The sequence below is a fragment of the Homo sapiens genome, chromosome 12, assembly GCF_000001405.40.
Source record: "Homo sapiens chromosome 12, GRCh38.p14 Primary Assembly".
In the NCBI taxonomy this organism is placed as follows: Eukaryota; Metazoa; Chordata; class Mammalia; order Primates; family Hominidae; genus Homo; species Homo sapiens.
This window is the reverse complement of record NC_000012.12, coordinates 64,089,953-64,107,558: the sequence shown is the minus strand read 5'-3', so window position 1 is coordinate 64,107,558 and position 17,606 is coordinate 64,089,953. Positions and strand designations below refer to the sequence as shown.

The following is a 17,606-nucleotide window of genomic DNA, read 5'->3' as shown; positions in this document are numbered from 1 at the left end:
CATCACTTCTAAGATGATATCCTTGCTTCATTTTTCTCCCTTGAATGGGAAAGAAGTCCTGTAGTTTCTACTTCTAGATATCTCACTGCTAATTTTCTAACTGAAGTCTTGATTATTTCTAACTTAGACTATCAAAATACTCTCCTAACTCAGTTTCCCTTTCCGATTCCTCTTGTATCAGTGGTTCTCAACCTTGACTTGGATTCACTTGGGGAGATTAAAAATGCTGATGCCTGAGATTCTTTTATGCAGCCAGGGTTGAGAACCACTGTCTTAATTACTCTTGCTAAGCTTATTTCCCTGGAATCTTGAGTGCTGACCCCAGCTGTTTTCCACTTATTATCAAACTGGGCATTCTATTTTCCCTTTTGCATAGCTGAAAAGGTACGAAAAATCTATTAGGAATATTCTTGATTAACCAAGAATGAGCTGACAAAACAAGCAATAATTTATCAGGATTCCTGAGAAAAAACCACTTCCATTCCCACCTTTAAGTATGCCAAAGTTGGAACCGTAGCTCTGTCATCTTTTAGCAAATGCAATTTCAGAAACTCTTGAACCAGAATGTAAGTAAAACATTATCATGCAATTAACATTCTCATTCTTTCATTTTTATTCTTTCAATATAAATCTATAATTTATAATAGTGTGATCTTAGTAATACTGAATTGAATATACTACATTTTGCCTTTTTTATTTGTAAAATATTTCAAAATGGAGAAAATATAACGCTATGAACAAGGCAGATTAGGGTTACGTCTATTGCATACAAGCACTTTGTTAACATACTTCCCAGGCAATGGTCTTGATTTATTTTTCCCTGAAAAGAGGGAATAAGATGCTTAAAAAAGAAGTTATTCAACAGGTGTATAAATTCTCTCAGGCCACAATAACTCAATAATTAAGTTATCAACATTTCCACCCAGTTTGGTCCTGGTAGGATCAAGACATGTCCCAGAGTAAGCTGTTTATCTCCATGACAACTTCATGTGATATGTGCAAAACCACATTGTACAGAGAGGGAAGATGAAATGCCTAAACATGAAGTAATTTGCAAGTCATTGAGAATTTAATGGGAATTCTGTATCTTTAAATACTATTTCAACACAGCTGCATTATTATCTCATATCAGAAATTAACTGGTTGAATGCTTATTACCTAAAATAGCTGATTTTATAAAAAGTGTAATGTTGTTGCTGCTTTAAAGAAGACAAAGATGATTTAGCATACCTGTATCTAGAAAGTCTATCTCTAAAAATGAAAAAGAAAAAACTCTTCAAAAGCGAAATTATACATATTATGATTTATTCTTAAGACAACAATAAAACTTCTCCCGCTGTTTATTGAGAATCTTGGGTGTTTCAAAAGTGAAGTTTCCTCATTCTCCCAGCAAATCCTCATTTTAAAGTTAAGGTCGAGGCTAAGGTAAGAGAATTGCTTGAGCCCAGGAGTTCGAAGCTCCAGTGAGCTATGATCACACCACCACATTCTAGTCTGGGCAACAGAGGAATACATTGTCTCTAAAACAATTAATAATCATAAAGTTAAGGTCAACTATCAGGGACAGGAGTTTTGTAGCTTAACGCTAGTTTTAAAGTCCTAGAGTTAAAAACAAAAGGAAAGGAAAGGATGTAAAAAGAACCACTCTTACTATATTATTCATCTTTAATATTTGTCAAATCCCATAGACAGCAAGTCACTCTGGAGGCTACATTCTCTGTAACTACAGGACATAGGCATTAATTCCAAGAGATTTTGTTGTTGTTGTTGTTTTTGAGACAGAGTCTTACTCTGTCATCCAGGCTGGAGTGCAGTGGGGTGATGTCAGCTAACTGCAACCTCTGCCTCCCAGGTTCAAGTGATTCTGATACCTCAGGCTCCCAGGTAGCTGGGATTAGGAGCACCCACCACCATGCCTGACTAATTTTTGTATTTTTAGTAGAGAGGGGATTTTGCCACGTTGTCCAGGTTGGTCTCAAACTCCTGGCCTCAAGTGATCTGCCTGCCTCAGCCTCCCGAAGTGCTGGGATTACAGGTATGAGCCACCATCCCCGGCCTCAAGAAGTTTAATCTTAATTCAAGATCTTCTTGTTTCTATCTCTTGGTTCTAAACTTAGTCCCTCTACCTCTTAAAGGCAGTTTTAAAATTTTATTTAATAAGAATTGAGGGAACAAATATTTGTACAGCAGTTTCAGAGTAGCATTATTCATAATAACCAAAAGGTAGAGACAACCTAAATGTTCATCGACAGATGAGTGGATAAACAAAATGTGGTATGCACACACAATGCAGTATTATTCAGCCTTAAAAAGAAAAACATTTCTGACACATGCTGCAACATGCATGAGGCTTGAGGACACTATGCTAACTGAAGCCAGTCACCAAAAGAACAAGTATTATATGATTCCACTTATGTTAGGTACCTGGAATAGGCAAATGCATAGAGACAGAAAGCAGAAGAGATAAAGCCAGGGCCTGGGGCGGAGGTGCAGGAGGATGGGGAGTTATTGTTTGATGAGTACCGAGTTTCTGTTTGAGAAGATGAAAAAGTTCTAGAAATGGATAGTGGTGATAATTGTGAATGTACTTAATGCCACCGAACTGTACACTTAAAAATCGTTAACATGGTAAATTTTATATTTTTTATATATATATATATTTTTACCACAATAAAAGAATGAGGGGGCCTGTGGGATGCAAATGAAAGACTTCAGGGGAAAAGCAACAAGGACATAAGTGACACTAAAAAAACTAGATAAAGTTATATGAGGCAGATGTACATTCTCTTTAACTACAGTCAACACAAATCAAAGCAAAACAGAACTGCTGGCATTCCTGAAGTAGTAGCAAATCTGTTCGTCTCGAAGGCCTCTAACCGTGATGGCTGCGAGCAGGACTCCCAATTCTACCTGGCTGGCTGCTCAACAGGCGCGCAATGTGTATCCTACAGGAGCTTCGCTCTGGTACAAATGACTCATTTACTGTCCTGAGTCCAGTTAGTGGGCAAAATTTATGGTTGCTGCTGACACCCTGATGAATGTGTGTTCCTAGCTGGCTCTGAGTGTGGCAAATTTCACAATTTCATGCTGGAGGGAAAGATGGGTCTTTTCTTCCCCTCAGAAAAGTTGTCAGTGGGGAAAATCAGTATTTCACTTGGATTTCTTGTAAGCTGGGCTTTGTTTTCCACAATTCAAGGTCTCATGTAATTAGGTAAAAGTGGCATTCATCCAACCTTGATCACATGCTCAAAGCTCCCTGGGCTAATATATGTTTTTTTCCCAGCAATGCAAGATTCTCATGTTAGCGTCCCAACTTCCCAGCAGGCGGGTTAGATAGCTCCATGTAAATGCATGTGAAAAATTTACCATAAAACACAAGTTACTTCAGCAAATGGCAAAAAGTTCAAATGGTCATCACTCTGAAAATACTGGTTCTTCTGTGGACTATTTGTAGAAGTATTTGTTTGCCAGAAAATGAATAATAAATCACAAGATGCAAATTTCTCCTTAGGTATGAAGACAGGGAAGGAAATTCCTTGGCAGCCACATTTAGAAACCGTTTATTTAACAGTGGGTACACACATACTTGTGAGTTCCATAGCCTAACAGCTGGCATTCAAGATGAATGTATCAGTTTCAGGACATTTTTAGGTTCACACTAACAATGTCAAGGTGTTAATCAAACCTTTGTATATAATTGTTTAACAGACTGACTTCTGTGAATTAAACCATTGATTTCTCTCCTAAATAACAGCACTATAGAAATACATACATAGATGTTTCCTATTCTGCTGAATTATCATATTGAGGTTAGTAAAGAAACTGAGTCTTAGCCTAGAGAGCTTTACCTACTCAGTTCAGATACTCAGCCTATTAAATATTTTTAAGGATAAAGGAAAAATTAAGAACATTATTATAAGGCATCAAACAGAAATTTAGAATTCAGAGAGAAAACTACCATGTATGTCAATAAAGCTGAAAGAAATTTTTATAGCAAAAACATATATTGAGCACCAGAAAAAGAGTTCAAAAGCTTTTTTCATGAAATAATCAGAAAAGGCAAATAAATTTAGGTACTAAGAAGCTCATCATAGTATTTTGGTATAGTTGCAAAATCACTGGAAACAATCTAAATGTCTAAACTAGGGGATTTGTTACATAAAATAGAAATCATTATAGGGTCACTAAAAGCTATATTTTGAAAATAATATTATTGAGTTTTAAAAAAGTGGTTTATGAAGAGCCAGTATGGCGTGGCATAATTTTTTACAACAGCTTGGCCGGGCACAGTGGCTCACACCTTAATTCTAGCACTTTGGGAGGGCGAGGAGGGTGTATTGCTTGAGTCCAGGAGTTCAAGACCAGCCTGGGCAATGTTGTGAAACCCTGTCTCTACCAAAAAAATACAAAAATTAGCTGGGTGTGGTGGTGCACGCCTGTGGTCCCAGCTACTTGGGAGGCTGAGGGGGGAGGATCACTTTAGCCTAGGAGGTTGCAGTGAGCTGTGATCACGCCACTGCAATCCAGCCTGGACAACAGAGTGAGAGCCTGTCTCAAAAACAATTTTTTTAACAACAGCTTTATTGAGATATAACTAATATACCATATAATTTACCCATTTACACAGTTTAACAATGATTTTTAGTACACTCAGAGTTGTACAAGATCACCTCAATCATTTTAGAGCATTTTCATCACTTCAAAAACAAACCTCTTATCCATTAGTGGTCACTTGGTACGATATAATTTTTATGAAAAGTACATAGGAGTGTGTACCCACAAAATGGATTTTTTGGCAATCAAAAAGAATGAAGTACTGATACCTACTGTAACATGGATGATCCTTGAAAACATTATGCTAAGTGAAAGCCAATCACAAAGGACAACATACTGTATAATTCTATTCATATGAAACGGCCAGAACAGGCAAATCTATAGAGACGGAAAGTAGATTAGTGATTGCCTAGGGCCGGGGGTGGTGGTGGTTATGAGTAAACGGGGAGTAATTGCCAATGTTTGCTAACTGGGGTTTCTTTTGGGGGTAATAAAAATGTACTATAATTGATTGTGGTGATGGTTGCATAATTCTGTGACTATACTAAAAACCACTGGCCTGTACTCTTTAATGGATGAATTGTAGAGTATGAGAATTATATCTCAATAAAGCTGCTTTACAAAGTACATAGGTACTGTAGAAAAACTCTGGAAAGATACTAAAAACGTTATCACTATCTCTGTGTAGAGAAATTACGATTTGTTCTTAGTTTATAATTTTTCTACAGTGATAACATGTTAATTGCATAACATTAGGTTGGTGCAAAACTAATCGTGTTTTTTGCCACTAAAAGTAATGGCAAAAGCCGCAATAACTTTTGCACCAACCTAATAAATAAAGCATTGACTACTCATTCGATGATTTAAGGAATTATTGTTGGTTTTAAGGGTATGATAATGGTATTGTGGTTATGTTGTATATTAACATGAAACATAGTATTTGTTGTTGTTTGTTGTAAACAAAATGTGTACATGCCAGTGATTCTCTTTGGGTAGTGGAATTATGGAATTTTGGTTGACAATATTTTGTTCTATGTGCTTTTGTGCATTTTTCAGGTACTCTACAATAACTACATGTTGGTTTTGTGATAGGAAGAAAAATTCTCCCTTAAGAAACCGTTTCCTCATATCCAAGTAGTCACCTAAATAATAACACCTAATGTAAAATGGAATGAAAAAGTTTCATCTGGGCTCACAGCCTTAAGGCAGTCAGAAAAAAAAACATGAATTACTTGAGTGGCTTTTCTAGGGCAAGTCACTTGAACTTATGCCCTAGGAAATCTCAGAGCCATGATGCAGGGATATTCTACAAGCTGCCCAGACTTTGTGGGTATGACCTGGAGCATTGACAAAACCACTCACAAAGTGGATGGTTAAAACAAAACAAAACAAAACAAAATAACTCTTGGGTGAGAAACTGAGAAACTACCAAGTTTGCCACTTCAAATTTATGTTGCATTTGGTTTTACTATGTCTTCATCCAGATAAATAATCTTTAAAAAGAAATGTACAATAAATTGGGGAACAAATAGTGCATATTTTTAAAAAAAGAATGCTAAGATAAATTTCCTTTGACTACATATATTTGTAAGCTTCCAAAGAACGTGGTCACTCAGGGTCATAAAGCATAAACATGGCTGGATAACTACTCATCACACACACACACACACACACACACACACACACACACACACACCCCTTTCCCCAAACAATCCAAAAATACGGAAGCGAAAAGTAGTGGGTGCTACAGTGCCTTATGCAAACTCTTAGAAAAGATGAAAAGGGAAGTTTTTCTATACAAAATAACTGTCATGTGAAATTACTTTAATGGGGAAAATCAAACCCAATTACAGCAATGCTACAAGATGACAGGGGTAAAAACAATCTATCACTCAGATCTCTCTTTCCTCTAAAATTTCAAAATCTTTGTTTCTATCATATATTAACTTAGCCTGCATTTATTTGTAAATATCTTACCTTTCCTACTACATTTTAAGCCTCTTAAATGCAAGAATCAAGTCTCTGAATCCCTAGACAGTTTTATACATTGTAGACTATTAATCAACTTGGTTCAAATCGTCAAAAGTCTGCAATATTGATAAGGGGATACAATGATAAAAGATGTATTATGCTACTCAAAGGATTTATTGAAAATCCAGGAAAAATGCAGGAAAATCCAGGAAAAATGCATTATGGTCACATTGGTAAGAAAAAAATGCTTGCTTAGAGATAATAACATCCAAGAATCCTCTCTTTCTTAAGAGGTTACATGTTGGAGGAAAAGGGGTTGTTCTATAAAGAGGTTGTTAGTGTCAATATGTATGTTTTTGAAACACCTGCCATTCTGTAAAACTTTGCACTAAAAGTAACAAGACTTATGGGGAAAAATAGGATTGGGGCAGACTACTCAACATTTATGAAACTTTGTAACTACTGCACTAATGAAAACATTAACAATCCTATTAAAATCCAAGGATTATGAATCCATTGATTTTGATTAATCCATTGTTTTAATACAGGAGGGAATGTCATTGTAGCTTCTTCACTTGCACTTGAGCACTGTAGGTACCCTTACATGAGATATCTCCATAGATTTTTTCCTTGTAGTTTACATATTTGCTAAATATGACTCTAATTGTGAGAAAGCTTGACATTGATTGCTACAAGGTATTTAATGTGCTGGGAAAAATCATGCTGGAAACAATGTAACTTGAGGATAACACAAATATTTCTAAATTCACGTGAGTTAATTATGCCAAAGAAACACATACTTAGCAGAACAGACAGATTGATAAGTGGCCAACCCAGGTATTGGCATATGTGACCACAGTTTATAGTCAGAGTAATTGTAATAGTAGTAATGATGACAGCTTGCAACACTTACTGAGGGTTACTATGTGCCAGGCATGATGTGAAACCCTTTACATGGACTGTCTCATTTATTCTTCACATAGACTCTATGAAGTAGGTGAAGAAACAGCTATTTAATAAGATTAAGTATTAATCTTTGCCCAAGTTTATACAAAGTTGGAAAGTGGTAAAGCTAGGATTTGAACCTAGATCTTTCTGACTCTATGGCCTCAGTTATTAAAAACCACTATGAAATGATATTTTTCATCCAATAAAAGTGTGAAATGATTCTATAATGGTAACTGACAATGTGGCCCAACACTCTTTATCCAATTGGTACATGTACATGTTACAGCTGACATGATGTATGGACCTAGAAAACCACTAAGCATTGTACAGCACTTGTTATTTTTCCAGACTTAAGCTTTTTGGCTAGGATGTGAGGGAAATCTTTGGACATGGCCAAAGGAGAATTCCAGAAGTGAAACACCTCCTTTTCATTTCTTTCCAGCTGGGTCAGAGGTTCATTGTGATGACTCAGGCTACGCAAGGGCCGTGGAATGGACGTGCAGCTGTACTTCTAAATTCCAATGGGACATCAGACTGGGGAGGATTATGACCGGGAAATTCATACCCAACTGGAGCCAAGACTCTAGGCACTGATGCCAGACAAAGAACTCGTGGTGGAATCTTGACTTTTCAATTCATTTCATCTATAAATTCTATTTAACTTAACATGCTCCAGGAATTAACTAATTCCTAACCTTCGGGAGTGGACAAATGTTAGGGCTGCAAAACTACTCCACAAGCCTGTGGAGCTAACTGTGGGCACTCCATTGAGCATATTCTGTGCCAGGCACTCTTCTTGGCATTTTACACATATTAACTCACTAAATTCTCACAACCCTATGATGTAAGGATTAATGTTCCCCCTATTTTATAGGTGAGGAAACTGAGATGCAGAGAGCTTAAGAAACCTGACTAAGGTCACACAGCTGATGAGTATGTGACAGAGCTAGGATCTGAAGTAGGCTCTTTGAATCCAGAGCCTCTATTCTTAACCTACTGCCTAAACTCATTTTCTAGTAGTAGGAGACAGAGGGGTTAAAAAAATTATAATGCGGGGAGATCAGAAAAATTCTGGACATACGTACCCAATAGAATAATGGGAGAGGAGAAAGTGATTAATCCTGGTTGGAGTGGTGGGGAGGACAGAGTTGTGGGAGGAATGCCAATTTGGCAAAGCCTTCACAGCAGATGTTGAATGGTTATCATGGACAGCTGAGGAAACAGCATAGGCAAGTGGATGGAGGTGGGAAATGGCCCAGCATATGTACAGTCTGCTACTGCTGAAATATACAGTAAATATGGTAGGGTAGCAGGAGAGGGCTGTGCAGCAGTAGCAGAGATCAGAGAGAGGAATAATTCAATTATATGAATTGGCCATGCCATGGAGTTAGCTTTTTTATTTTTTTATTTTTTTTTGAGACAGAGTCTTGCTCTGTCACCGAGGCTGGAGTGCAGTGGCACGATCTTGGCTCACTGCAATCTCTGCCTGCCAGACTCAAGTGATCCTCCTGCTTCAGCCTCCCAAGAAGCTGGGAATCCAGGTGCATGCCACCATGCCTGGCTAATTTTTTATTTTTAGTAGAGATGGGGTTTTGCCATGTTGCCCAGGCTGGTCTCAAACTAATGGAGACCAAGCAATAAGCCCACCTTGGGGAGTTTGCTTTTATATTGAAATAGGTTTTAAAAAGGGGAGAAAGCAAGCAACCCAGTTTTTTTTTTTTTTTTAACTCTAGCTGCAGTGTGAGAATGCAGGGCCAGGGGGTAGGGGTTGGGAAAAGAAGGCAAAATCTAGAAGTAGAGTCCATTTAAGACACTCTAACTATCCCCAGTGAGAAACCAAGGTGATGGGGATGGGGAAGGAGGGATGAGTAGTGAGATGTTTTTTTTGAGGGCAGATCAATAGGACTTGTTGATTCAGATGGGGGGTGGAGGGACTGTACGGAGATTTCTTTATTAAGAGTAAAAAGTTGATTCTTATGAAGCCTAAGTGATTGAAGTCAGCTCTAGACTCTTGCTGGGAACTCGGACTTAAAAGGGACACTGTATTTTTAGATGCATGGATCTTGATTGTGGCTAATAATTAATTCATGGTATCATTATTTTCACCTTCCTTTGTATAGTGTCAAAAAGCCCCCACTGAAGTAAACAGCAATGCTTTACTTTGCCAATGATTATCGGTTTCATAATATGTCATACACAATCCCAGAGCAACTCTGCCTATTAGCTTGGGTTGCCCACTGACAGATAATTACCACCTGGTGTTCCTGCACTGTAATAAGGATCTTTGATTTCATTTTATCCATTTCTTGAAATAACATTGAAAGATGGATAAATTACCCCACTCCTAAAATTGGTTGAGAAAAACCAAGAATCAAAAGCCAAGAAAAGGTCACATTTCCCAGCTTACAACTTCCTCCTTTCCCTTAGGCAGCTGGCACCTGGCTTTCTGCTCAATTCCAGCCATGAGTGGGAAGCTCCTGGCTTTCTGGAGCCAGAGGATGTTCAGGAGGAAAGCCCACTCAGCCGAGGGTGAGGCCACAGCTGGGAGGATGACTCGCACTGGATCCAGAAAGAAAACAAATGGTCCCAGAAATATGGTGGTAATGGGGTAATGGGGGTGGGGGTGTATGGAGGGGGGCCACTGCCTTTTCCAGGAAGTTAGCTAGTGAAATAATTCTTGTGGGAAAAGATGAAAAAAATGTCCACTTACTGATACAAGAAATCAGATCGTTAAATCTTTCCTTAGGAAAGAGGGGGTTTTCCAGCCCACGGAAATAGAGCTTCAGAACGCCAGCAACTGAGTTAATATCATGGTTACTCTGGTCATCAGCCAAAGGATTTTCACCTAAAAAAAAAAAAAAAACTCATTACATTAACAGTGCTTCTTTTTCTCTGAACAAAAATATATTTCTATGAACATACACGTTGCTATATATACATGTATCTTTTAATTATGCTTTATGAAAGATTATATGGTACTAAAATTAAAATAATTGGTTTAGATATCCCACCCCATGATTAACCTAAAAACAGTTGACTAAAATAAAGCTTTTAAAATCTTATGCTACTAAATAATCCCTTACAAGTTACTCAAATCTTAAAATAAAATATTGTGGAATTTATAATTTTACCCAACCCCCACTTTTTTTAAGCTGAAATCTGTAATCTTAGTTTGACATGAATTCAAACACTACATCCTGTGTTTCTTACCCTACTGGGAAAAAGACACACCATAGGTCTGTCTGACTATGCTATATGGGTCAGCAAAATTTATCAGAAATGTCATAGGTGCCACTGAATTGTGAACACCTACAATTAAATAAGTAGGTATTTCCCAAAGTGGCATGGTGGTGTTCACAGCACATCTGAAGGCTGTCTTGAGCAGAGGCAGACTCTAAAATCAGATAGAGGAACTTGAAAATGTACCTTTCATGTTACCAAGGAGTTTGTATAAAAAGTGGGAATTTAAAAAATATATCACAAATATAAAATTATTTTTTTTATGGTAAACAACTTTAAAATATTAGGCAACTAGTCTGGTGAGCGTTTCTTTCTGAGAACTAAATTAAATTATTAGGCAACAAGTCTGGTTATTGTTCCTCTAGAGATAAAATCCTTAAGAAGTTCAACATAAAATACAACCTTAAATCAAATTCTGTTTTTTATTTACAGTTTTATGCTTCTCTTCTAAAGTTCACAAAAAGTGTGCATTGCATTTTAACGTATTTTTTTGCTTCTTAGGGCAATTTATTTTTAGGGATCTGTTGTTCTCTTTTCTCTGTTCCTAGGGCAAGAAATCACTGAACATGAATTTATCAGAATATAATAATTACTATTATTTTTGCCCACTGTGAGAAAGCCTCACCCAAGCAGATCACAAACAAATAACAAATACTGGGAAAATTTCCAAGGAAAAATGATCATGTATTTTGCCTGTGGTGGCTAGCACAGAACCTGATACTTTACCATATTTCAGCTTACCCTGAAGATGGCCAATGCATGAGACTTGGCACATGTGGCTGCTCTGCTCTAACCATCAATTTTTACAGTTTTGCAGGTGAGGAAATCGAGGCCAAATAGGAATTGAGCGACTTGACCCGTATCACATGATTGATTAGTGGCTGAGAGTCTGATATGATTCTAGGTCTGCCTGACACGAAAGTGTGCAGCTTTGCTAATTATAATGTGCTAATTGGAATGTTTCTAACATAAGGAAATGATATGTGCTTCAGGTGATGGATATCCCAGTTACCCTGATTTGATCATTACACACTGTATGCCTGGGTTAAAACATCATATATACCCTATTAATACATAACACTATTACGTACCCATAATAGTTAAAAATAAAAAATTAAGGGAAAAAAGTATTGACATTGAAAAAAGATAATGTATATGGCATATGACCCAGTTTAGTAGAACTTATTTGACAGCCAATTATGAACAAGCATAAGGCACCCCCTAGGGTCACAGGGAAGGAGTCTGTGGACCGTGAGAAGAAAAAGGGAAGAGCTCCCGACAAAGGGAGGAGCTGGGCAGCAGGGAGGAGCTGCCTCCCTCACCTGCTGTCTAGGCCCAGGGCTGCCCTGGCCACTCTTCCAGAACTCTTTCGGCCCCACATTTGCTATACCTGGCACCGATTATCAATGTCAGTCCTCAACCAGGATGCAGAGCTCATATGCTTTTCTAATTTTAATAACAAGGGCTTATAGTTTTGGTACCATTTCTCAGCGATTCTTAATGGATTCTTACTGCTGCACCCCTAATGCAGTACATACAAAGAAAGGTTTTGAGGATATACAGAATAAGGGTGCCACTTCAGTTTACAGAACATGATGACTTTTCAACGTGGTTTGCTTATAGGGATAGACGTGCAATTACCTCTCTCAAATGAATTTTTAATATCATTGACTTCCACCTGGGAACCAGACACTCTGAAAATCCCCTGATGCTGAAGACCTAAAGAGAAAAGAAGGGAAAGAGGATAAAACCCCCATCACATTGTCTAGGTCCCTCTTTTCCCAGGAAGTAAATTTACTGAAACACTTCAAGTGATTTTTTAAAAAATAAGAATTCTGTAGTTTATGGCTTACCATAGAGATTGATGAACCGAATACAGCTTTCCACAATGAGGGGAATAACCTGTCCTGAGTCCTGGGTAAAGGGATGGAAACCAGTTAACCTCAAGGGAGAGGTATAAATGCCTCATAATAATAAGGCTTAGAGTTTAACAGTAATTAAAGAGGGATTTTTGCAGTTCTGGAGCAAACCAAGTTAAATACATTTAAGGCAATTCTGTTTCAACTTACTTTGCTGTGCCTAGAGATGTCAAAACCTAATTCATCTCTTTTCTTATATTAAGACTTACATACCAAAATGAATATGTGAATAACTCATTTTTAAAAGCTTATTTATACAAGTGACCAATCTTTAATGGACTTAAAAAGAACTCTGTGTATTATAATCATAGCATCTTCAGTTTGATTCGCTATATTCATCATGAAAGACAACCTTTCAGCCATCTCAGGATTCTCTCTCTGACATCCCTGAGAGTGCATCACCTAGATGACAAGTCATAAAAGGGCTTCCATATCTATATATCTATAGATGCATAATATGAGAATTGTTACAGAGATAATTAAAACATGTATTTACTTAGTTTGCATCAGAACTTACAGATTTTTCATTCATACATTGTCATATTTTAAGGAATAAGAAAAAAATGGCACAACTGTATATCGCAGATTTGTTTTTTTAGAAAGGAACATTTTTGGGCCTTCTTTCCCCACATCTTGTAAAACAGTCACTGCCTTCTACTGAACAAATGTAAACCGTGGCAGTGTTTTAAAACATGTATAGGATGACAAATGAGATGAAGGGCTGCTGAGGCCACAGTTAAATATGTACCAATGCCATGTACTCCATGAAGTTAAAGAAGGTTACTGACTACAGAATTATTTTTCATGTGTTTTTAAGACTCTGCTTTTTCAGGAATTAGATCTTTTTTAAAAAGAAAGCCAAAAAAACAAAACCACAGGGCTCGAAAATGGTTAGCTGACATCAGGTATTAATTCGTGAGGAATTTTATTTTGAAATGCAAGAAAAAGTTGGTTGTCTTAATATATTAGAACAATTCAGAATCCATTAACCTTTCCAATTAAGCAGTGGGGGAAGGATTAAGAATAATGCAGTTCAGCAATTTAAACGCTTTACTATTCCTGGAATGGGTATTATACTTCTTAAGGAATTGTCTTATTTTAGGTTTTAACACAATCTAATCAGTGTATAAACCAGTTAATGGCTCAATTACTTCTGGAGACTGTATTAAGTTTTTCTAATTAGTTAATTTGTTTTAGGAGCACAAATTTTATTAATTTCTTAAAGAAGAGTCTTAAGAATAAAAACGCATTTTAGTGTGGACTAGTTGGCTCAGGAACAGCAATGTAATTACATCATAACTTACTGAATATGTGAAAGGATTTTTCTTTAAGATATAAGTGTTTTAGGGGAAGTAAACTATACGAACAATTCATGGAACACTAATCTGAAAGCAACATATTTTTAAATGTAAGTGATAAAAAGAGATCATTAGTTTACATCTCTGCTGAATTTAGTATTAAAAAGAAAAGCAAAGAATACAAGGTTATGAAAAGGAAAATGTTTGCACTAAGAAAGTTCTCAATAAAAAATGTCTTCGGTTTTCATATTTTTAAAAAATGTTTTTGTGTTTACATTTACTAATTGCTTTTTAAAAAAGCTATGATCAGTATTTCATTCAGATATAATTAATTTTGTAGTCAAAAAGTAATGAGTATATGTGATTTAATTTAATTTAATTTTACAGATTTCAGATGCATGGGTAGAAAACATAAGAAAATATTTTATAAGAACAATGGGGGTGCATTCCATCTATCATTCAAACTAATCCCTTGGTGTCGGTTTTCCCAAGAGAAAAAAGAGAAAAAATGGTTTTGCTCTTGCTGTCTTCACAGTGACATTGTGGAGATTGCAAGTGATCAAGCCCTTTTTAGAAGTGGAAAGGAGCCCTCTGTATTGTTTCTATTACCAAAGATTCTTCAATGTGCCATCTGGGCTGTGAAGAGCTCCTATAAGTGAATTTTCCATGATAGCTGGTTTATTTATTCTTTGGTACCTCAATTTACTTTCATTTAACTGCTCTTAATGAAAAATTGAAAAAATATGTAATATGTGCTTTTCTATCATCTTAAGCAGCCATTCTCGTACTGTATTATCAAATACAACAGAATCCTACGTCTGCTTCTTGCAGCTTTTCTATATTCTCTTTCTCTGCCAGGCCATCAGCTGCATATCTCATTGCTTTCATTTTATCGTTCCTCTCTCTCCATATAATTTGTCCCTGCTTATAAGCCAGGGGCTGGGAAAATAGGTAATCAAATTTGACAATAATTTTATATTAAATTAGAGCCAATAAGGTTCTTCTGGATTTAAGGCTTAAGGCAGTAGATCTGTAACTGCTATTTAGGTTCTTCAGTGGCTTTCCACTTAATTCCAGAGTAGGGCTGATTTTTAAGGCTGCCAGAGGTTTTTAATCTATGTACATATGTATGTATGTATGTATGTATGTATGTATGTATATATGTATGTATGTCCTTATACATGCCACATGCACATTTATTTAATTATTAGTACACATATTCAATAAACAGACCTAAGAAAGTAAGACGTCTGTAATATATCATTAAGGGAGGTTATTAATGACATGGTTTCTCAGATAAACTTAGTTTGCAGAAACACCGCAGCCCATGCCATAAAATGTGAACTACAAAGGAGAAAGCAAGCCCTTTTCTTTTTTGTAAAATTCACACTAGGGTCCATAATCCAGTATTAAATGTGTATTTGGTATTTAACATTGACTTTCCCTAATAAAGCCCTTGATCAAACTTGATACATTTGCCAAACACATAATGTAAAAACTAATAGTTTAATGTGCCCATTTTTCCTCTAGTGTTTGATTGCTACAGTTTCTAAGTAAAACCTATTTATAAACTTGTCTGATTTCCAAATGCAAACATTTTTCTTTTAAAAACCTTAACAATCTAATTAAAGCCAAGCATGAGCACGACTTGAAAATGATACCAACAGTGAAAGAGCACCCTCACGTCCCTCTAGCACTATACCTGATGTCTTGTGTGCGAGTTTCTTCGTCCTCGGCTAGAAGCATTATCAGAAATACAGGATGAAAAAGAAGACGAAGAGTAAACACAGCAGAGGTACAAGGTATAGATCATAGTCTTACAATTCATTCAATATAATGAATTCCTCAAGTCATGGGAAATCAAAACTCCTGCTGTGTTTCAGAGCTATCCTAACAAGCAGACTTTAAAGAATATTTTGTGCCATCTCATTTGCATGAGTAAAAATACAACATTTTTATCAGGTTGCTTTTTAACTTTCTGTACAAATTATGGCTCTTTTTAAAAAAATAAAGAAAGAGGGCTTTCTTTTATGCCCACATAATAATACTCACATTTATTCTCTCTTCTGAAGGCACTCGACCCAAATATTCTTTCCTCTCTGACTTCAGGAAATATTATATTGATTTTCTGGGAAAGCAAAGAGCCCCAGGACAGACTTGGACATAATGACCTTCCTCCTCTTACAAGAGGCTGAGACCATTATAGTAAGAAGCATGGAGATCAGCCACCCAGATGGCTGGTGCCAGTACCTTGACGAATGTTTCCAAATCCCCATTAAACAACTTAGTATTATACTGTGAGCGGGGCCTGGACTTCCTGTGTTTCTGGGGCTTAGGGGGAACATTTGGAGGCCTAAGGGAAGGGAATATAATTACTGAGCATGGCAGAAATCAAACAATAAATGAAACATCTATAGGTCACATCAATATTACAAAACACGGGAATCTTGGGTTCCTTCCCCTCCCCCAATCACAGGGGAAAACATTCCCTCCCATTTCCCATTTATTTACTTTCACTTCTGTATCAAAAAACATACAAATTGTTTATTCACACTGCTGTTTCCCTGTATGCTGCAGCTGACATTTGTTTGTTTGCTGGTTTGTTTTAAAATAAGCACTACCAAGTAGACTCGTTAGCTATTTGGCCAAATGTTACAAACCAGCATTCTTGTTATTTGGTTTACAAGTCACACAGTAAGATACAACCGGTCATAAAGATTAGGGCTCCGGTAGATCCCCAAATGAGGAATTAAATATAACATTTTTAGGTACACATAATTTTTTTTTTTAAGTCAGAGTCTTGCTCTGTTACCCAGGCTGGAGTGTAGTGGAATGATCATGGCTCACTGCAGCCTCCACCTTCTTCTGGGCTCAAGGGATCCTCCCACCTCAGCCCAAGTAGCTAGGACTACAGGCGCATGCCATCATGCCCAGCTAATTTTTAAATTTTTTATAGAGACGGAGTCCCCCTGTGTTTTCCAGGCTGGTCTTGAACTCCTGGGCTCAAAAGATCCTTCCACCTTGGCCTCCCAAAGTGCTGGAATTATAGGCGTGAGCCACCTCACTCAGCCCAGCAAACCAATGCAAGTAACATCACATCTGTTCGATACCCCTCCAGCAGTAATGGAATTTTATTTCATGCAAAAGTAACTATTAATAGGTCACAAGTGAGAAAAATAATTTGGGTTCACTGCTTTTTCTAATTTGGGGGACATACAGGCTCGCATGAGTTATTATTTCTTTAGAACAAACTATTCCACCACCTAAATATCTGAGGATGTACTTGTTTATGCCACTGCAGACTCTCTTCCTCTCCAGTCTGCCCATTTGCTCTGGTGAATAAACCATTCTCTCTGACATATGCACATCTAGTGCAGCATGTAGTATATTTAGAAACTGTGACATCTTGCCCTGTGACTGCAGAGAGGGAACCTCTTCTGCTCTCTCCCTTTAGTGGAAAGAAGGCCAGAATTACCTGACTCAACTTCTACTACTGTGCTGAATGAAATACATGGAAGGAGAGCCCTGAGACCTGTCTCTGGATGTTTTAATGTAAAACTCCTTTTTAACTGCAAGACTTATAGGAGGATACACACCACACCAGGAAATTGTGTAAAGCCCTTCATTAAGCTTCAGACTCTAGGAAAATTTATCTTTTTTAGTTCATTTAGCTTAA

General features: G+C 37.0%; 1 protein-coding gene and 1 long non-coding RNA gene across 5 annotated transcripts in view; one reads left to right on the top strand and one right to left on the bottom strand.

Annotated features, from left to right (window-relative positions):
* LOC105369798 (uncharacterized) overlaps positions 1-8,139 on the top strand; it is a 31,313-nt gene extending 23,174 nt beyond the window's left edge. The window contains exon 2 of the long non-coding RNA XR_945018.2: positions 7,916-8,139. This is a non-coding gene — a long non-coding RNA (uncharacterized LOC105369798). The remainder of the gene's footprint in view (positions 1-7,915) is intronic.
* The window catches only part of SRGAP1 (SLIT-ROBO Rho GTPase activating protein 1), a 317,518-nt gene that overhangs the window by 54,659 nt on the left and 245,253 nt on the right, over positions 1-17,606 (bottom strand). The window contains exons 12-15 of one of the 4 annotated variants that reach the window (NM_020762.4): positions 16,181-16,283; positions 12,567-12,627; positions 12,355-12,432; positions 10,184-10,318 (exon numbers count right to left, since the gene is read on the bottom strand). In NM_020762.4, the coding sequence (NP_065813.1) occupies positions 10,184-10,318; positions 12,355-12,432; positions 12,567-12,627; positions 16,181-16,283 (377 nt within the window). The other 3 variants (NM_001346201.2, XM_024449096.2, XM_024449097.2) reach the window with 3 other exon arrangements.